Here is a 21841-nt window from a genome sequence, read left to right as displayed (position 1 = left end):
CTCCAACTGGGACCACAGCAAGTTGAGAGAATGAATTACAGGGAAGGATGGCCTGGGGAAGGCACATCCGCTCCACCCCTTCCTGCAGGCTCCTACTGTCAGAAACACTTACACATTGCTGTTAAAACAAGTAATTCAAAGTTACTGAAGTCCGGCAACCTGTACACTGCCTAAAATTTTCAGCAGCTTCCAGGTTGATGGAGCCGCACCTCAGTATCACGTCATCCATACCCTTCGTATATGTTCCTTGGACCCCAGCCTCATGGCACAGCCAGGGTCTTCATTCTGTAGCCTGGGCCCACCTGCCACCAGGCATGTATGTGTCCCTGCCGATGTCTGGGGCTCAAACTGATACTCTCCCATGACAGGGGCTAAATTCCTCTCTTTGGGAGAGGATTGGCACTGTTAAGAGAGCAGCATTTGGAATCTATCAGACCCGGTTTTAAATACCAGTGCCATCAGTTACAAGCTGAACACATTGCTTAGTCTTCCTGCCTTAGCCCCTTGTAAATTGTGGATATCCATACTCACTGAAAAGACGTGTTGTGGTTAAGCACTATAGTGAAGGAAAAGCACTTAGAAATCATTTATTATTAGATATTATCTAATAATGAAGTATTAGATAGTATCTTTATCATTATCAATGACATTATTGATAATATCAATTAATATATCAATTCAATGATATTATTCATTAAGTATTAGATAGTATCTTTATTACTATTATTTTAGACCCAGCTCAAGCCTTCCTTTTTCTGGAAACATTCTCCCAAGGTTTCATTTCTCCTCACACAGCACCTTAACCCACCTCTTTTCAATAACCTCTCATATTAACTCATTCAACGACACACGTGCTATCACCCTCCACTGCACAGAGACATCATGAATGCACAGATGTACTTTTGCCAGAATGTTGCATAGAGCTTGACACATATTACATACTCAATGCTTGTTGAGTTAGTAAATAAACACACAGGATTCAGAAAAATAAGCATAGATGTACATGTCCACATGAGTAGAAAATGTCACAATTTTCTAACATTTTAAAGTCTTTTAGGTATATTTTTAAAACTCCATACCTTCTCCTCAGATGTTTTCTCATTGCACTACATTGTTAGGGTAAAGGCTCAGCAAAAAATCACATTCCCAGGAATTGGAGTAAATGTTTTGATTGCTCAATTTTCTGCCCTTTTTTCTTTCTTTCTTTCTTTCTTTTTTTTTTTTTTTTTGGAGTTAGTTGCATTAACTTCTTCTTTTCTTACTAGCTTGCAGTTCACAGAGGACAACTCCGGGAAGTTTTTACACAACTCTGTGTCTCCCATAGCATCTGGTACACGGCAATTCTCAGTTAAACATTTGGTGAAGGACTTACTAACTGACTGAAAAATGATAAATGTTTGAAGAGTTAAATATGTTAGAAAAATGGAGTACTTGTCTCTAATTAGGTGAGTAGCTGATAGGAAAGCAGTAGCAGCATGCTTTTGACTCACTTATCTTTTACAAAAATCTTTTGAAAGTTGTACAAAAAGTAAAAGAGTATAACTTTTTTGCCTACAAAATCTACAACAAACTACAATGCTCTTTTCTTATAAAAAAATATGCATTGTGAGACTGTGGGAATGGCCTCTTCAGTCTCCCCAGGATCTCCAGTGCATAGGTCAAATGCTGGAGAACTATTTTCTGATTCTCATCATGCTTTCTTGTTAGGCACCAAGAGGAATCTTTATAGACAAAGTGTTTAGTTTTTGTTCTTTGAGAACAACATGTCTGCAGCAACTATTCTTAGAACCCTCCGTAGGAGGCAGAGATCCACCTCTGTGGAGAGTGATTCACCACTGCTTCACTAATTATGCATCATCCCTACCACAGATGATGAGGCTGAATATCAAAAAACCAAATCCAAGGAAACTGGAGGCTAATTGGGCTGAAAACATTCCTTTGCTAAAGCCCGCAGGCAGGAGACGCAGTCAATTAAGCTCTAACAGGCAAACCCAGGCAACTGCGGCTCCCCTTGCCTTCCCAACACTGCCAGGCTCCACATGCCAGCTGTGACACCAGACAAGGCAACCGTGCCCCCTTCCTTCCCTCGGCCATTTTCTGCTAAGTTCTGCTGCTCTTTCGTTGTGCTTTCCTCTTCCAAAATATTATTTCATAGCATTTTTTGCAACAAGCACTATTTGTGGGCCCCACGATAACTCCCGGGGTAAATAAGAAAGAGAATTTATCCTGCAGATTTGTCTTCTGCAGGGAAGAGACAAACGTTGAAACACACAATTAGAAAGAGTTTCCAGCAGAGGATAAGAAACGAGAGAGGCACAGAACAGTCCAAGCCTTAACCTCCAGACTCGAACCCAGGGGTTAAGGTAAGGGCCTCCTTCCCTTTCCAGGGTCTTACATAGGATCCACATCAAGGGGAAACTTCAGGCAGAGCATCCTTTTCTGCTCCTCTCATGTAAGCTTCTGTTTACATCCACATAAAGACTTGCTTTTCAAACTCACTCTGCTGGAAGCACAGACAGGAGCCAAGGTGTGAGGAAGCCAGAGGACAGGTAAGGTGCCCAGAACATTCACTTAACCTGATGGAAACTCCAAACAGCATTGTAGAGAGACAAACATATATATTCACTCAACACTATGTTCCAGGCCCTGTTCTAAGCACTGGGGATACAGAACTGGGCTAAGTCAGCAAAGACCCTGCTTATATGAAATGTCATTCACAGGGGGAGAGCAGTGGAGGAGAATGGACCACAAACAAGTAAGAAAATGTATAGGACTCCAGACAGCGTGTGCCATATAACACAATGGAGCAGGATGGAGTCTTAGGCAGCGTCCAGGGAACTTTTGCTATATTCTACAGCTTGATCAGAGAAGGTCTCTCTCATAAATTGCTATTTAATTATAGCTGGGAAGGGAGAGAGCAAACCATGCCAGGAACTGCAGGAAGAATGTTCCAAGTAGAGGGCACAGCAAGCGCCAAGGCTCTGAGCTGGAGCCTGCCTGGAGTATTCGGGCAGCATTAAGAAGTGCAGTGTGACTGGTTGCTCAGAATAGACTGTAGGTGAAAAGAGAGGAAGAAGGAAAGTTTGAAAAATAGGACACTTTGGCAATAAGATGACAGTAGTTCAGATAATGATGGCATCAGTAGAAGTTGTGAAAAATATCTGGACTCTTGAATATTTTTGAAAGCCAAACTGAAGAGCTTTTCTTGTTGAAATTGAGTCTGTTGACCAACCATCTGATTGACCTACAACTGAAGAGTTTCCTGGGACATAGGAGTTTCAGTGTGACACTGAGGAAGTCCTGGGCAAACTAGAAGGAGCTGGTCATCCTAGGTGTGGGAAAATGGAGGCATCAAAGGTCACTCTAAGGATTTGGCCTTGGCCAATGTGAAGATAGACTTGCCAATTAACAGAAATGGAGATGTCCAGGGGCTTGCAGGGAGGGCAAAAGAACAGAAGCAGAATCAGGAATTGATATATGATATGATTTGGCTGTGTCCCCACCAAAATCTTATCTTGAACTGTAATCACCATAATCCCCATGTGTCAAGGGAGAGACCAGCTGGAAGTAATTGAATCATGAGGGTGGCTTCCCCCATGCTGTTCTCATGATAGTGAGTGAGTTCTCACTGGATCTCATGGTTTTATAAGTGTTTGGTAGTTCCTTCTGCGTTCATCCTCCTTCCTGCCACCTTGTGAAGAGGTGCCTTGCTTCCCCTTCAACCAAGATTGTATGTTTCCTGAGGCCTCCTCAGCCATGCTGAACTCTGAGTCAATTAAACCTTATTCCTTTATTATTAACCCAGGCTCGGGCCGTTCTTTATAGCAGTGTGAAAATAAAATGATACAACATATTTAGTTTAAGATGCTTATTAAAGCTTCAAGTGGATATGTTGGGTTCAGAATGAGATACAAGAGTCTGAATTTCAGAAAAGAACTTCAGGTAAGAGAAATGAGTCTGAGTGTCATCAGAATGTAAATACCTAGTATTTATTGTCTCAAAGCCATTGGGCTGAATGACATCACTGAAGGAGTAAGTACAGATCCAAGAGAGATCAGAAGCTGGAGATATGGGGCCCTCCAACACTGAGAGGTTGAAGGTAGAGTCAGGGGCAAGAAGAGAATCCAGAGAATAGTGCCCCGGAACCTAGGTGGAGTAAGGCCTTTTACCTACAAGGCATGTCTTCCCCTTCATGATGACATTCTTTGCGGCACAAACCTCCAAAATCCTTCCTGGGCTTTCCTGAAGTGACAAGGTAGAGCAAATTAGATACTCGTGTTTCTAACCCGCCTTTTCTTGGACTGAAGGTACCACGTAAGATGGGGACTGGGAACAGAACCCTCAGCTATATCGCTGTGGCAATCGGGAGAAACAATGTACAGCTGATTGGATATCTGGAGAAAATCAGAGGAAATCCCATTATAAGGGCAGGTGTTGTGCTGGAAAAGCAGCCATGAGTTAGAAGTGGCCATCTCCCTGGAAGGATGGCAGGTGATTTGGGCTCTGTAGCTAACTATGCCAGGGATGGGTAGGACACTGTGGATCCACCAGAGTAGGAGGGAATGTAAGCTGGAGTTTGCGAAGAGGATGAAGCTGGATATCTTCCTCTGCCCTAGACGTAGGGTGAGAAGTGTGGAGAGAAAGCAGACACTGGGGCGGCTGCAGGAGAAGTCCTGTCCTCGAGGAGGAATCATGCTGCAGACTGCGAAATGCACACGCAATTTCAAGATAAATATAGGAGCCATCAGATAAATCGTCATTTAAAAATAGGGAATTTGGTAGATTCCCTCCAGGCTGGCAACAGCTTGTGTTCATTCTCCCTTGCTCTTAGGGTATTTTTTATTTTGAGTGCCCACTAAGTCCTTGATAGTCATTATTAGATTTTCAGAAAAGCAATATGCACTAAGAATCATTCTAACTTCAGCGATAAGGAGACCGAGACACAGCACTTCTGTTTTCTAAGATTCTGTCTTAGCCCATGGCAGAGGCAAAATTAGAATGCATGGTGGGCTGACCGCACAGCCCATGCTCTTCTTCCCACGCCGCCTTGTGGGTCTGAAAGGTCTCGCACACCAACTCACAGCACAGCCCTAGACGGAGCTCTAAGGGGCGGCTGCTCACTAGCTTTGCCCACACTGAACGTCAACAAACATCTTGAGTCAGATGGTGCCCATCAGGTCCAACATTAGTAGACAGCATGGCATAGTTCATTGCTGTCTATCCAGACTGTAGGAAGAAGACAAAATGATTCATTAAGGGTGACTGCATAAGAAGAGTATGGCCTTTATTGTACATATTTATGAACCGCCTACAAAGGCCTCGCAGTGGGTACTGTATTAGTCAGCGTTCTCTAGAGGAACAGAACTAATAGGATAGATGTATATATAAAGGGGAGTTTATTAAGGAGTATTGACTCACACGATCACAAGGTGAGGTCCCACAGTAGGTCATCCGCAAGCTGAGGAGCAAGGAAGCCAGTCCGAGTCCCAAAGCTAAAGACTTGGGGTCCTATGTTCAGGGGCAGGAAGTATCGCATGGGAGAAAGATGGAGGCCAGAACACTAAGCCAGTCTAGTCTTTCCACGTTCTTCTGCCTGTTTTTATTCTGGCCTTGCTGGAAGCTGATTAGATGGTGCCCACCCAGATAGAGAGTGAGTCTGCCTCTCCCAGTCCACTGACTCAAATGATATTCTCCCTTGGCAACACCCTCACAGACACACCCAGGAACAATACTTTGCATCCTTCAATCCAATCAAGTTGACACTCAGTATTAATCATCACAGGTACTCACTCCCTTCCCCAGCTCCTTATCAGAGCAGAACAGTGATTGTGGTGATTGAACACCTCTCCACGGCAAGGAGAGCAGAGCAGCTGAAGTGTGGCTGCATCCGGCAACATGAGCCCTGATGTAGGTAGCAGGAGCATCTCAGCCACTGCTCCCTTTGAAAACTGCAGACTTTGGATTTCTCCTTCCAAGAAGTTGTGTTCAAATAAATGGAAACAAGAAGGGGACACACAATCACCTAGCTTATAACTCAGCAGCGATTCCGCAACAGACACAGTGGGTGCCCCGGCCCTGGAAGGACTCTCAAGACAGCTGGGGCTCATTTCAAACCTTCTACATACAAGGCATGTCTTCCCCTTCATAATATCATTCTTTGTGGCACAAACCTCCAAAATCCTTCCTGGGCTTTCCTGAAGAGACAAGGTGGAGCAAAATTAGATACATGTGTGTCCGACCCTGTTATCTTTATAATGTTACTGTAAGGAAGTAGGGGTCTTGTTGCCAGGAGAAATGGGAGAGGAGTTTACGCAGCACGGGAGGGAGAGCTGCACTTTTACTTGGGGGCAGCTTCTTTACTTTCGTGCTTAAAAGGAAACAAAGCATTCCACTGTGGTGTCCATTTTCCCTCTCTCAAAGACAGTTAACCTCTACTGTGCTCCTGAATTTAACAATTTAAATCCATTTACTTCTCCCGGATAACCTTGATCCTTCTCCCCCTTTTTAGTCATAATTCACCCCCATCAACACTTCTCACTCCACTAGAAACACAATTCATGTTGATCACTGAGTCGTGTACTGGATTATGTTCCTGCTCCTTTCTGAGGGCCTACTTTTTGTACCTCTGTGATCTCAGATCCAGTGATGTTTCACACTTTAAGTGTTGAGTTATCAGTAGAGGATTTATTTTATGGAAGGTCGACTTCCCCTCGAAACGTATGGCAAATTCTGGTCATCTGTTGTGTTTGTTTCATAGGGATGCCGCACAAATCGCCATAATTTTCGTGTCATAAAACAAGACTAATTGATTTTCTCAGTATTCTGGAGACCAAAGGTCAAAAACCAAGGTATGGACAGGATCACACTCCCTCCAAAGTCTCCAGGGGAGGATTCTACCTACCCTTCACAGTTTCTGGTGTTGCTGGCAAGCCTTGGCATTGGGGCTTGTGGCTGCATCACTCCCATCACTGCTTCCATCCTCACATGGCCTGATCCCCTGTGCCTGTCTCTGCGTCTCATTTTCTGCCTCTTATTAGTCACCTGTCAGCGGATTTAGGGCCCACCCTTAATCTAGGATGATCCTATCTCAAGATCCTTGCCTTAATCTGCAAAAATATCTACAAAGACCCTTATTCCAAAAAAGGCCACATTCTGAGGTTCCAGGTGGAGGTATCTTTGGGGGGACGACTCTTCAACCTGCTGCCCCAGTGTTAGTGGTTGACAGATGCCTACGCAACGCTGCAGCTTCTTGTATGCTGAGCAGTCTCCTCTGAGCTTGATTCTCAGCTGTGTTCTTTGTTCTCCTTGTCATGTCACACAGGTGCTTTGACTTTTGAAAGAAACTTTTTTTTTGAGATAGAGTCTCACTCTGTCACCTTGCTGGAGTGTGGTGGTGCAATCTCTGCTCACTGCAACCTCTACCTCCTGGGTTCAAGCGATCCTCCTGCCTCAGCCTCCCAGATAGCTGGGACTACAGTCACCCACCACCATGCCTGGCTAATTTTTGTATTTTTAGTAGAGATGGGGTTTCACCATGTTGGCCAGAATGGTCTCAATCTCTTGACCTCATGATCCGCTCGCCTTCGCCTCCCAAAGTGCTAGGATTACAGGCATGAGTCACTGCGCCCAGGCTCTGGAAGAAACTTTCAAGCCTCTTTTGGGAGAAAAAAAATCAAATACTTCTTGTGTTATTGTTTGGCTGTGTCCTCACCCAAATCTCACCTTGAATTATAGTTCCCAAAATTCCCATGTGTTATGGGAGGGACCCAGTAAGAGATAATTGAATCATGGGAGTAATTTCTCCCATACTGTTCTGGTAGTGAATAAGTCTCACGAGATCTGATGATTTTATGAGGGATTTCCCTTCACTTGGCTCTCATTCTCTCTTGCCTTTCACCTTCAGCTATGATTGTAAAGCCATGTTCTCACAATCTCACAGTTCCCAGCCATGTGGAACTGTGAGTCCATTAAACCTCTGTCTTTATAAATTATCCAGTCATGGGCATATCTTTATCAGCAGAATGAAAGTGGACTGATAACACTTTGCTTCAAAATCAAGCTGGAAATAGCAAGACCATAAATTCATGTATGCGCATGCATGTATGCATGTGTGTGTATGCCCCTGTGCAAGCCTATATGCATATGCATGTATGTGTGTATGTATGCCTCTGTGTGTGTGCATATGCTTATACATACATATGTATGTATAAATAATAGGTAGATACATATTATGGTTATTTCTGTGCAAAACCATTAAACATTCACCAGGAAGCAGAAGTTAGGGAGCTACCTCAGGGTGTTGCTGTTAACCATTTCGTTTTTGAGGTATCATGGACTGCACACTTCAAACGTCAAGTGCATGGAACCCAGATTAATGGTGATAATGGTGGGGGAAGCTTTTAAAATTCAGGAACTTAGAGGGGTTTCAGTCATCCGCGCTACTTGAGATGTCCAGGCACACATTAACATCACCTTTCTTTCTCGCACCTGCTCCTTCCTTATGCTGCTCATAATTCTAAGTGAGATCATGAGAATCTCGTCAAATTTGATCTCTTGCCGTAAGAACCCAGCTACCTGAATGAAAGCTGAACAAAGAGAGCTAGTACGGAGGCTGTAGGAGTGCGCATACCTTCTTGATTTTTTTTAAAGTAAGTGTTAATTTGTACATTTGCACAAGAAAGTTGGTCACCTAAAATGTGGGTTAGTTGATGAAAACACTTTTTGCCATCAGCTATAGATTTAGTTCTGACACCTTCCATGCACAGTTTCACTCGAAACCATATGGGTAACCTTAAGTGAATCACATCCATGAATCTCAGGCTTTTTAAAAAAAAGTCTGAAAATTCACTTACTCAACAAATGTGTGTTGAAAACTCCCTGTGTGGCAGGCACTGTTCTAAGTGTTTGGGATACAACAGGGGATGAGACAAAGACCCTGCCTTGAATGAGACTCACTATTGGGTAAGAGGACCCAGAAAATAAACAATAACCACAATAAATACATGCATTCCATACATGACAGAATTATAGATGTGTTTTAGGAGAAAAATGGAATAAACGTTATCAGGATTGCCAGGCTGGGAGGCATATGTAATTAAACAAAGAGCCTAGAGTGGAAGACTCTATGTGGACGGCTGTGGCAGCCCATTCAACAGGACCGTGGGGGTGATGCACTGTAAATGGCAAAGCCATGTCTCTGCCCGTCTTATTCAGGTGATGGGGTGTGGCTGACGGCGCACCTTGTGGTTGCTAGTTTCTTTCCGAATGACTGTGGCTCCATTGTCACGTGTTCCAATGGTTCCACTCACTCACCCATTAATTAGCAATCATTTATTCAGTGCCTACTCTATGCCAAGCCTTTTGCTTGGCACTGGGAATACAGACAAATAAGATACTCTTTCCTAAAGGAAGAGACAGATAAACCTATGGCTACAAAGCAGCATGATGAGGTCACAGAGAATGCTTGTGCGCCAAGGCATTCTGAACTCAAGGTACCCAGCCCAGACTAGGGAATCTGTGAAATGCTTCCCCCGGGTGAGGCATGGGCTGAGCTACAGGGCACTTGGTGGAGCCCGCCAGAAGACAAGAGCAAGTGTGAAGGGACAGACAGGAGGGACTGCCCAGGCTAAGGGAGTGAAATAGGCAAACACAGAGAGACAAGAGGGTTTTAGATGGTTCTGGGAACTGGAATTCATTTGGAATGAACAGAACATAGAATGTAATCAGGGAACTGAGTAAAGATGGAACTATAGAGGTGAAGCGAGTAGCTAGGTCTTGCAAAGTCCCTGAAGGATTTTACACAGGGGAATGATGTGGCTGGTGTCTTCTAGAAGCCACACTTTGGAGGTAGCAAGTCAAGAATGGATTGGAGGGAGGGAGACTGGAAGTGGGAAGGCCAGCTACCAAGTTAGATTTTTTCAAGCAGTATCCACTGACTAAGATCATTATGATGTTGGCGAGGGGTTAGAAATCGTGGATGCTGCATTATTCCGGGGTTGGAGATTCACGAGAGGTGGTTGTGATGGTTGAGGACAAAGGCAAGACAGTGGTTGAGGTAAAGGATTGCAAGTCTCTAGGCCAGATATGAAAGGAAGTTTATATGGACAGAAAAATGGGTAGGTGGTGTGGGGAGTTATGGACCCTTATGCCTTTGGCATAGGGATCTGGAAGACAACAGCAAAACTAGAAGTCTATACTGCAGGCAATGGGAAAATGAACTATTATGTTTTTGTAGAAAGATTTTCAGGCAGTGCTGGAGACATCTATATTAGTTTGCTATGGCTGCCATAACAAAATACCACAGGCTAGGTAGCTTAAACACCAGAAATCAATTTTTTTACAGTTCTGAAAACCAGAAGTTCAATGTTAATGTGCCAGCAGGTCTGGATTTTCCAAACGCCCTTCTCCTTGGCTTGCCGGAGGCTCTTTCTCACTGTGTCTCTTATGGCTTTTCCTCTGTGTATGCAATGCCTTGGTGTATCTTTCTCCTCTTATAAGGATACCAGTCTTATTGGATTAGGGTGCAGCCCTTATGATCTCACTTAAGTATCTCTTTAAAGGCCTTATCTCTAAATACAGTCACATTAGGAATTATGGCTTCAATGTATGAAATTTAGGGTGACCCAACTCAGTCCATAGCACTCTGCCCTCTGAACCCCCAAATGTATGACTTTCTCATATGCAAATACAAACACCTCCAGCCCAACAGCCCCCCAAAAGTCTTAACCCATTTTAGTATCAACTCTAACCCCAAAGTCTCATCTAAATATCACCTAAATCAGGTATGGGTGGGCAATAAGGTGTGATTCACCCTGAGGCAAAGTTCCTTTCCCGCTGGTAACATATGAAACCAGCTATGTTATGTGTTCCAAATACAGTGGTGGCACAGGCATAGGATAGACATTCTCACCACAAAAAAGAAAAATTGGAAAAAAGAAATGGGTGACATGTCCCAAACAAGTTCAAAACCTAGCAAGGCAAGCTCATTAGATTTTAAGGTTCAAGAATAATCCTCTTTGGCTTGATGCTCTGCCCCATGGGCCCCTCATGGTGGAAGTTCCACCTTCTGGGACTGCAGTGGCAGCAGCATCCCCAACAGGTTTGGGTGACAGCCCCATCTGTGGTGCTGAGGAGTAGCGTTATCCTGAGGCCCCGAGTGGTTGCAGCCTGGCCTACTGACCCTGAGGAGGTGGAAGACAGGCTTGTCCCCCAGACCTGTGTGTTCTGGGCCTGTGGTGGGAGAAACATCCCTGAGAATCTCAGAATCACTTTTAGGGCCGTGTTTCCCTCTTCTTGAAGAATAATACATGTTGTATTAGTCTGTTCTCATGCTGCTAATAAAGACATACCTGAGACTGGGTGATTTATAAAGGAAAGAGGTTTAATGGACTCACAGTTTCACGTGGCTGGGGAGGCCTCACAATGACAGTGGAAGGCGAATGAGGAAAAAGACACATCTTGGCAGCAGGCAAGAGAAAACACGTGCAGGGGAACTGCCCTGTAAGAAACTATCAGATCTCGTGAGATTTATTCACTATCATGAGAATAGCAAGGAACAAACCCACCCTCCTGATTCAATTACCTCCCACCAGGTTCCTTTCACAACACGTGGGGATTATTACAATTCAAGGTGAGATTTGGGTGGGGACACAGCACCAAACCATATCACATGTCCACAGCCAGATAGCTCCATTTTGCCATCCTGCAGAATGCTGGAACTCAGGCAGCCTTCCTTCATTTTACCCCACCTCTGCCTCCTTCAGTGCAAACTGGCTGTATTTCTGCTGCTATTACCCCATCTCTATCCCTGGCTTCCACTAAGATGACTGCATGGCTTCTTGAATTACACCTATAATCTTTTTATCAAGCAATTTTCCAACCACATTTTTGGTGTACTGTCTAGAACATGCTTTCTCATTTTTTGCAATATGGATATGCTGAGGATTTCTCAAATTTTCAAGTTCTGGTTCCTTTTTGCTTAACAATTCTCCTTCTTCACTTTCTCTCCTCTAGCATTTTACTATAAGCAGTAAGGAAAATCCAGGCCATAACTCAACACTTTGCTTAGAAATCTCAGCTAAATATCCAAATTCAGCACAAACAAGTTCTACTTTCTACAGAACACCAGAATACAATTCAGACAAGTTCTTTGCCAATTTATAACAAGGATTATCTTTATTCTAGTTTCCAATAATATGTTCCTCATTTCTATCTGAGACTGCACCAGAATAACCTTTAACATCCATATTTCTACTAACAGTCTTTACAAGGCAATCCAGTCTTTTTAAACATGCTCCTCAAAACTCACCTATGCTCTACCATTACACGATCCAAAGCCACTTTCATATTTTTCAGTATTGGTTACAGTAGCACCAGTGGTACCAAAATCTGTATTATTTAGTTTGCTAGAGTTGCCATAAAAAAAAATACCAAAGGCTACCTGGCTACATTAGTTAAGCAACTGAGATTTATTTTCTTATAGTTCTCGAGACCAGAAGTCCAAGATCAGGGTGTCAGCAGCTATGACTTCTCCTAAGGCCTCTCCTTGGCTTGCAGACGGCCACCTTCTCACTGTGTTCTCATATGGCTCTTCCTTAGTGTGGATGCACTCCTGGTGTCCCTTCCTCTTTTTGCTTTTTTGTTTTGTTTTGTTTTTCAGACGGAGTCTCACTCTGTTGCCCAGGCTGGAGTGCAGTGGTGTGATCTTGGCTCACTGCAAACTCTGCCTCCTGAGTTCACACCATTCTCCTGCCTCAGCCTCCCGAGTAGCTGGGACTACAGGTGCCTGCCATCATGCCTGGCTAATTTTTTGTATTTTATTAGAGATGGGGTTTCACCGTGTTAGCCAATATGGTCTTGATCGCCTGACCTTGTGATCTGCCCACCTTGGCCTCCCAAAGTGCTGGGATTACAGGCGTGACCCACTGCGCTCAGCCGTCCCTTCCTCTTTTTAAAAGGACTTTAGTTCTGTTGGATAAGTCCCCATCTTTGTGACCTCATTTAACTCTAAATACCTCTTTCAAGGCTCTATCTCTAAGTACAGTCACACTGAAGGTTAGTAGTTCAACATATGAATTTTGGGAGAACACAGTTCAGTCCATAACAATATCACTGACTACACAACACCAGAATGAAAAGCATATATAAAATTCTGTTTTTAGATAGCTGATGAGCAAAGGTTCAGAGAACACCTCCTGGTATATTATGCATTCACATACATGAATGAGATGTATGCAAGTAGGAACTTCTTCAGGTCCAAGACATTTAATCAAAAGTGAAATCATAAAGGTAAAAGAATGTAGGAGCCAGAATTTGTCCTACAGGTTCTTCCCCCTCCTGGTGGCTTACAGTATGAGTTTTTAACATGTCCCCCAAAACAAGGATAAGGAATAAAAGTTGAGATTTGAAAAGGAAATAAAGTCAAGTTAGAAATACATACTTAATGCAAAGACTTCCAAAAGAAGGAATTTATTGGCTAAATTAGGAAAATCTGTTATGCAAGACAGAAGGGGGGCAAATGAGCCTGTCACATCTTGACTGTGGACAGATGGGGAAAGGGGATTCTCCTCTGAGGGTTGCTAACCACATGCCATCCTCATGAGGGTACAGGGACTGCATTCACATGTCCTGAGGGCGTCACAAAATCCCAAGTAAGTTTAAAGTTCTTTTACGTGAAGATATTCTAAGGGATCTTATGGATCAAATACAAATCTCTCTGGAAATGTACTCTTTAAGCCTAGACATCTAAGAACTCATACGGTTAAAGTTCCAAGGAACTCAAAGTCACATTCAAAAAGGACTAGCCTCATGAGGAAACAGATTGCCATGAGTGTGATTTACGTGAAATGAAAATTCACTTAATTATTCTAATCAGATATTGGAATTATCTGGTGCAGACAGAATATTTAGTATTTTAAAGAAATAAAAGTAGACATTAAAAGTAATGATAAGGGAACCAAAAAGACTATCTAAATAATAAGAGTCATTTGAAAAAGAGCCAAATACAAGTTCTAGAAATGAAAGATATAGTAGCTGAATTTAGAAAAAATTCTGGGCAGAAGTATGGCATAATATGTGTAAAAGTGACCAAATAATTTCCTCACCATGTCTATGTTCTCAGGTAGTCCCTTTTCACATTGACTCTGAGCATGGCCATCTGACACTCTTTGTCCAATAGAACAAGAGCCGACATGATTTAAGCAGAGACTAAAAAGCAGCTTACACATTAGGGTTGTTCTCTTCATGTTACTGGGAACCCTGCACCTACAATTGTGTCAATGAGCCCAGGCTAACCTGCTTGATGATGAGAAAGACACAGCTGAGTGATCCCCAATACTCCAGCTAATATCAAGCCAACCTCCAGACATCTGAGTGAGGTGTTCTTAGGCATGTGAGACCCAACAGAGCTGCTGGTTGACTACAGAAACCAAACAACTGATCTCAGACCAGGGGAACAATTCGCCCAATCCAGAAGATTATGATGAATGCTAAATGTTGTTTTAAGCCACTGTGTTTCCATAACAAGACACTAATGGATACAACAACCAACATATGAGACAAACAAATCAGACACAGTTGAAGAAAAGGTTAGTGATATAGAAAATCAGAAGAACGTATTCAGAACGCACCATAAAGAAACAACGAGATGAAAAACTGAGAGAATAATCCATGGAGGATAGAGTGAGGAAGTCCAACATATGTCTAATCAGAGTTCCAGAATGAGACAATAGAGAAGGTAGGGGCAAGAAAATATTTGGAGATGTAATGGCCAAAAATTTTCCAGAATTATTTAAGAACACTGATCCTTAATGAAGCTCCAATTTAGGAAGTCCAGTGAATTCTAAGGAGAAAAAAAACTGAATGACATCAGCACCTAAATCCATCATGGTTAAAGTGCAGAACACCTAAAGAAAAGGTCACAACAAATCCCAAATTGAGGAAAGGCTGCAAAATCACTGAGTTTTACTCTTCAAAAGTGCGAAGGTCATAAAAGACAAAGAAAGACCAAGAATACTTTCTAATTAAAGGAGACTAAAAGGCATAATTAAAAATTAAAAATAACTAGAACTGAATTCTAATAGCAATGCTAATTAAGACTTGTGGGATTTGGCTAAGAAGATACTTAAACACTGCTATCTTTAAATGTTTTACTAAGAGAGAAGACAGACTGTAACAAATGACCTAAGTATCCACCTTATCCTGCAGTTTTTTTAAAAAATTAATCCATAGAAGATAGAAAAAGGTGATCATGAATATGAGAACAGAACTTCATGTAATGGAAAAGAAGCATCAGCAGAATCAGCAGAATCCAAAACCTGGTTTCCAAAAAGACTACTAGAATTGACAAATCCTTGAAAATATTAATCAAAAATAAAACAGAGCCAGGAACAGTGGTTCACACCTGTAATCCCAGCACTTTAGCAAGCAGAGGCTGGAGGACTGCTTGAGCCCAGGAGTTTGAGATCAGCCTGGGCAACATAGCAAGACCCCATCTCTACAAAAACTAAAAAACTTAGCTGAGCATGGTGTTGCATGACTGTAGTCCCAGCTACTCTGGAAGCTGAGGCAAAAGAATTGCTTTAGCCTAGGAGTCTGAGGCTGAAGTGTGCTACGTTTGCACCACGGCACTCCAGGCAGGGTGACAGAGGGAGAATTTGTCTAAAAATAATAATAATAATAAAAGAATAAAACAGAATGCACAAAATAAGCCATACTGGGAATTTAAAAGAGGAGCATGTCTCTAGATGTAGCTAAGATTAAAACAGTTATAAGCAAACCTGCGAACACTTTAGGTTGGTATATTTGAAAATGTAAGGATAAGACTTCCAGGGAAAAATCAAATAACCAGAATTGATTTAAGAGGATAAAGAAAATATGATCTTTAAAGAAATTAAATAAGTTCCTAAAAATCTTCCCACAAACAAAAAACAAACAAGACTCGCAAAGGTTTTATGAGGAAATTCTAACAAACATTCAAGGAACAATTATTTCCAAACTTATGCAAAGCTCTTTTAGAAAGTAGGATATACATATTCACCTTCCCAACTCATTTTTAAAAGCCATTGTAACCCTGATTTTTTAAGTAAAAAACAGAACAAACGAAAAAAAACAGGGGAATGGCAATAAAGGGAATTATAGGTTATTTTCACTTGTAAGCGTATATACTTGAATTTTTTAAGGGACTGAATCTTGCTCTGTTACTGAGGTTGGAGTTCAGGGGAATGATCATACTAACTGCTGCCTTAAACTCCTGGGCTCAAGTGATTTTCCCCATCTCAGCCTCTCAAATGGCTGGGACTATAGGTATGTGCTACCATGCCTGGCTAAATTTAAAAAAAAAATTTTAGGGATAATGGTTTTGCTACATTGCCCAGGCTGGTCTCCAACTCCTGTCCGTAAGTGATCCCCCTGCTTCAGCCTCCAACAAACTGGGTTTACAGGCGTGAGCTACTGTGCCTGGAAGCATTAATCTTAAATAAAATAGTTAACCAAATTTTGGGAAGTATAATCTAACATACCCTGGCCATATTTGGTTTATTCCACAATGAAAGATTGGTTCATCATTAGAGAAACATGCTAATATAAATTTCCTCATTGCAAGAATAAAGGAGAAAAACCAGAGGAAGGGAGAGTTTCCTGGGAAGAATTAGGCATCTTAACCAAACGTAAAGGAACAAATCTTCCAAGTTGAAAGGTGACGGAGAAAGGAAGATAATGAGAGCTTGGTCAAGGGTGGGAAGGGCTGGGCACTGTGGGAATGAGGGTCTGGGAAGGGATGATTGTCCCAGTGTTTTGACTTTAGAGAATGACAAGAAAATAATGCATGAAAAATGGAATTGTCCTCAAGTTTCCCAAGAGAATTCAGACTGAGGACACATCCATCACAGTCAGGTACCTGACTCAGTGTTGCAGGAATGTTGACATCAACAACCGGTAGCCGGTCTGGTCTGTAGGCCCTGAGAAGATGCACAGACTTAAAAAATATTCCTTGAAATCAGCCTTTACTCCTGAGAGTAAATTCAAGATTATACTAGATATTCCCAACATCCAGGGAGTAGGCCTGTGTAGATCCAAGACATTTTTATTAATATGTGGCATCTCTTTTAGAAAAAATTCCTCAATTCTCCCTGTTGGTGATTACAGCCCTTGAGTGACACAGCCCCAGGCGTAGGGACTGCCTAACAAGAGACACCTGAAGTCACTCTCATACACATTTTTGATGGAGGAACACCAGATCTTTAAGGAAAAAGTAGCTACAGGAATGAGAGCCTTAATTCATGCCAGTTTACCTGGAATATGGGTGCTGAACACCCTGAATATCGTTAGGAATATTGCTTCAATTTTCACCATTAAATCTATGTGAAACAATTTTCTGAAATGACTGTGATAAATATGTTACTGGAAAAAGTTGAACATTCCAGCTCCATTTGTTATTACACTGTTGAATATAGGTTCCCAAATTCGAAACAAAATCACAAACTTGTATTTTTAAAGTTGCATATTATAAAGTGTCAGAAATTTTTAACGTAAAAATTTCCTCCATCAGAACTTAGAAAAGTAAGGAACTATCTTTCTTCTTTGATACCATAAGCTTTTAGTCTTTTGTGTTACAATAACCTTTATTTTATGAAATGGTGGTGATTGTGACAGATTTTATTTAATAACTTTCTTGACAAGGTAAATGATGGCCAGTTTGTGCTGTATTACATTTGTAATTTTATGGATGCCTGAAACAGAGAATCTGGGAGAAGTCTCTGCTTTTATCATAGCACGTATCACAACTGATCCTATTAATTTCAATATTTGTCTCCCCCTTGAGTTATGGTACCTCTTGAGGATGCAAATTGTGATTATTCCTACAAGATCTTAGCGGATGCTGGCACACCAGAAATGCAAAGTCAGGCACTTTCCACAGAACTGACATCACATGCATGTTCCCGGTGGGCCCACTGGAGGAATTCTGGCACATCTAGTAGAGAATGCTGGGCAGTTAGGAAAAGGGCACATTATAAGTAACTGTGATAAAGAGAGCCCTTTATTATATCTCTTGGATAATCACAACATTGATGGGGGCAGAGACAATCAATCAACAGTGCTTAAGACAATCTTTTGCCAAACTGTGAAAAACGTTCTTCCAGTCCCCTCTGAAAGCCTGACTCCCGGAAATGTAGAGGGCGTGCCTCCTGGGACCGTCTTCACATCCTTCCCATGGGAAAGGCAGGCACTCTCGGTTAGCGTCTGGGGTTGCATGAACCGACCACACTATGGAGGTAGTGAGCCGCCATCTTTGCAGCTGTTGCTCTTATCACAGAGAGACTTCTTTGTATAACCTTCCTTGTAGTGGGCTCCTGTGCTCCTGGGAGTCCTATAGGCAAAAATTCTTGAAAATGGGGATGAAATATCCTTGACACACTTCTTCTTGTAGGCAGTAGCCGGCCAGCAACTCCTTCTTTAGCTGTCTATTGATACCCTACTTTTCCTAAACCCAGAGGCGGACGCTGTGGGAGACATTTACCATGCAAAGTGACATTGATGTTTCATTTTCTGTGGTGAAGAGACCTTCTTTCCACTGGGGTCAATAAGAAACATACATTTACATAAAAGCTATGAAAATATACCTGCTTTGCTTATGTATATTTCACAGATCACACGAAGTGAGATCTTCTTTCTATAAACTTCTGCCTCTTTTCTCTGAGCAAAGAAAAGCAGCTTTCTTTTAATGACATCAGTTCTGGTACATTTTCGCCTACGCTTTGCTCACAGTCTTCAAGACTGCAGCTCCTGACGGGGGCTCCCAGATGGCTTCATCCACTCCCACGCTGCTTGTGGGATGGGATGGCCCTGAGCCAGATGGGTCTACAGTGTGTCTGGGAGTCATGTTCTTTACCTTCTGTCCAGATTGGTGGCATTCTCTCTTTTTTTTTAACATCTTAAATTTATTTTGCTCTCCGAGTAGGTAATTTAATTTCCATTGGTAGCATCTCAAACACCTACGAGAGTATACAGTGTAGTGAAGTTTCTCTTCTGTTTCATCTCCCATTTACTAATTCCCAAAAGTCCTCTCCCATAGGTCAGCATGGGAGCTGCATATATAGGTACAGATATATACGCCACGCCTCTTTAGACAAATAGCCGGCACAGTAACAATATTATGCATCTTGCTTTTTCATGTAATGATAAGTAAATGAGATGGTAGCAGAGGCAGCTAGGTGTTCAGCAAACGTATTCTCTCCTTTCCTAGGAAACAGTCACAGTTCAAAAGCAGCTGCTCAGCCAGAATCGCATTTCCCAGCCTTCCTTGAATCTGAATATGTACATATGAGCAGTTCTTTCATGTAGAATGGGAGTAGAAGGCATGCGCGCTTTCACGTCAAAGACTTTCAGAAACAACTCTGCCTCTACCATGCCTCTGTTCCATTCCATCAGCTCGATGCAGACAACGAGGCCTTAGAGGACAATGGGATCAGAAGAGAAAACGGGTGCAGTCCCCATGGGAGAGCTGCCCACCAACCAGAAGAACTAGAGATCAGCCTCCATTGCATGGATGCACTGTGGGCCAGCTGTTTACAGCAGTCTTGTCACCAGATCAGAAATTGCACTGCAGAAGTCACACAGAACATCCTTCTTTTTGCTTCTATTTTTGCAACTGTTCACTAGTCCATTGGAAAGGTGGCTCACGGTTGCTTCAGACTGCCCCTCTCTAGGATATAGAAGTTGCTTCTAGCCTTTTGCCACTCGAAACAATGCCGCTGTGGACAGAAGTATACATAGATCATTTCGTGGGTGAGTATCTTCCAGAGAAATATTTCATGTTGCAATTGAAAATATTTTAATATTTCCTTTAAATATGTATGTCATATAAGGCCTAGGCACTACTAATATTAATACAAACTATATACATGTCATTCAGTTCCTGTTCTGAAGGGATTATATCAATAATCAAAAAATTAGAAGGTGACATCACCCAGCCCCATCTTACTTGTTTGAAGGCCTACTTAACCAGAAGCCTCAACTATTTGCATTGAAAATGAATCCAACTGGGAAGTAAAATAGTTGTCTGGTCTCTCATTATGGATGACTTGAAAAGTCATGTGTTTCATTATGAATTAGTTCATCAGTTGTCACCTGGATCCTCATTCATCCTTACTTTACATACACTCTGAAAAACAGTCTGGTCATGTGGCCTATTTAAAAATCAAATTAGAAGAGAGAGAAGAATGGAAGCTGCGCAGCATCACTTTGAGCAAGGAGAGAAAGTGATGGAAAGAGCCAAGGAAGCATAAAAATCAAGCAGAAGTGTTCAAAGGCCCAGGGAGAAGGACAATTTCAAGTCAGGGCAAACATTGCATTGCTATTTGCTGGCACCACAAAATAACTCACAGCCAAAGGTAGGAAGGAGCCTGAGTCATGAAGGAATTACTTAAGTCATGTGTCGTAGGCTAAAAAGAAGTATAATATTTTAATATTTTAAAAAAGCAAAGCAAGTAAAGAGCAAAAAAAAGAAGTATTATAATTTAATAAATTTTACCATGCTAAAAAGGAAGCTTTGATGTCTACTTAGAAAATATGCATGTATAAAACAGGTCATTTCCTAAGAAGCCTAAGTAGATCAAGTGTGAGCCAGAGGATATCAGGTCCTGATACCTCAGAACCCTGAAGTGCGCAGTATGCGGTGAGCTGCTAAGCCTGGGGAGGAAAACAGGACAGTGGGAGGAACGTCACCTTCCTGGAAGAAGAGTGGAGTGCAGTTTCCTAGTGGGAAGGCAAACGGCTTCCTGACATTTGTGCTCTTCCCTGGGCTTCGTCATTGTGTGACCTGCATAATGTCCTTAAACATGCCCTTCTGACTTCCACCTGCACTACACGACGTCCCAGCGTGGACTGTGCCGGCTCATTCATCAGGAATGGTATTTAATCAGGGCTGCAAGTCAACCAGAGGAGACTCATTAAAGTCACCGCAGGACGGAAACTCAGGCTCCCAGCCGTGGCCTTACCCTGAGGTTGCTTTTCCTTTCACCTGCCAATTACTTTCATCCACCTCCCACCTTCCGGTTCCCATGCTAAGCCCAGATTAAGCTGGTTCACTCGTAGGAGGGAAGACCTTGAAGGAAGCTCCACTGGCATGGCTGGGAATCAGGGCAGGTGCCCGTGCTCAGGGTCACTGCTGAATGGCCATCAGCGAGGCAGCTGGCAATGGCTACTGGAGGAAAGTCTCTCCCACTGGAGACACAGTCACATCCTCCCGCTGCCCTAACCCAAGCACGGCATTGGTTTTAGTCCCGTTTCTTTCGAGGAGATCATGTTCTTTATTTCCTCTCCACACAAGAATGCAATATTCTTCTCCACCTTGTATCACAAATTGCTGTTTAATATTGCACATGAAACAGCCCCCATGTCTCCTCCATCTCCCTCAAAGTGGGCCATCGAGACCTTCACTGCTTTCAGGGAAGCAAAGACAACTTTGGATGAGTTGTGCTCCATAAAAATGCCATGGGCCGGGTGCAGTGGCTCACACCTGTAATCCCAGCACTTTGGGAGGCCGAGGCGGGTGGATCACAAGGTCAGGAGATCGAGACCATACTGGCTAACACGGTGAAATCCCATCTCTACTAAAAAAATACAAAAAATTAGCTGGGCGTGGTGGCGGGTACCTGTAGTCCCAGCTACTTGGAAGCTGAGGCAGGAGAATGGCATGAACCCAGGAGGCGGAGCTTGCAGTGAGCCCAGATGGCACCATTGCACTCCAGCCTGGGTGACAGAGAAAGACTCCATCTCAACAACAACAACAAAAAGAATGCCATGATTAAAATGGCAAATGAGCATGTTCTGTCCGAGTCTGTAA

At 42.7% G+C, this 21841-nt stretch overlaps 2 annotated features.

Annotated features, from left to right (window-relative positions):
* Nucleotides 4857–6056: an enhancer, noted in NCBI's record as "CDK7 strongly-dependent group 2 enhancer chr6:164664227-164665426 (GRCh37/hg19 assembly coordinates)". NCBI's record gives its function as "activates an origin of replication core promoter dependent on BRD2, BRD4, P300/CBP, MED14 and CDK7 cofactors, with strong dependence on CDK7, by STARR-seq in HCT116 cells {active_cell/tissue: HCT116}" and the evidence as "EXISTENCE:reporter gene assay evidence [ECO:0000049][PMID:35650434]".
* Nucleotides 20267–21466: an enhancer, noted in NCBI's record as "BRD4-independent group 4 enhancer chr6:164648817-164650016 (GRCh37/hg19 assembly coordinates)". NCBI's record gives its function as "activates an origin of replication core promoter dependent on BRD2, P300/CBP, MED14 and CDK7 cofactors, and independent of BRD4, by STARR-seq in HCT116 cells {active_cell/tissue: HCT116}" and the evidence as "EXISTENCE:reporter gene assay evidence [ECO:0000049][PMID:35650434]".

Source organism: Homo sapiens, chromosome 6 (assembly GCF_000001405.40).
Source record: "Homo sapiens chromosome 6, GRCh38.p14 Primary Assembly".
NCBI lineage: Eukaryota > Metazoa > Chordata > Mammalia > Primates > Hominidae > Homo > Homo sapiens.
This window is presented reverse-complemented; position numbering and strand designations above follow the sequence as displayed.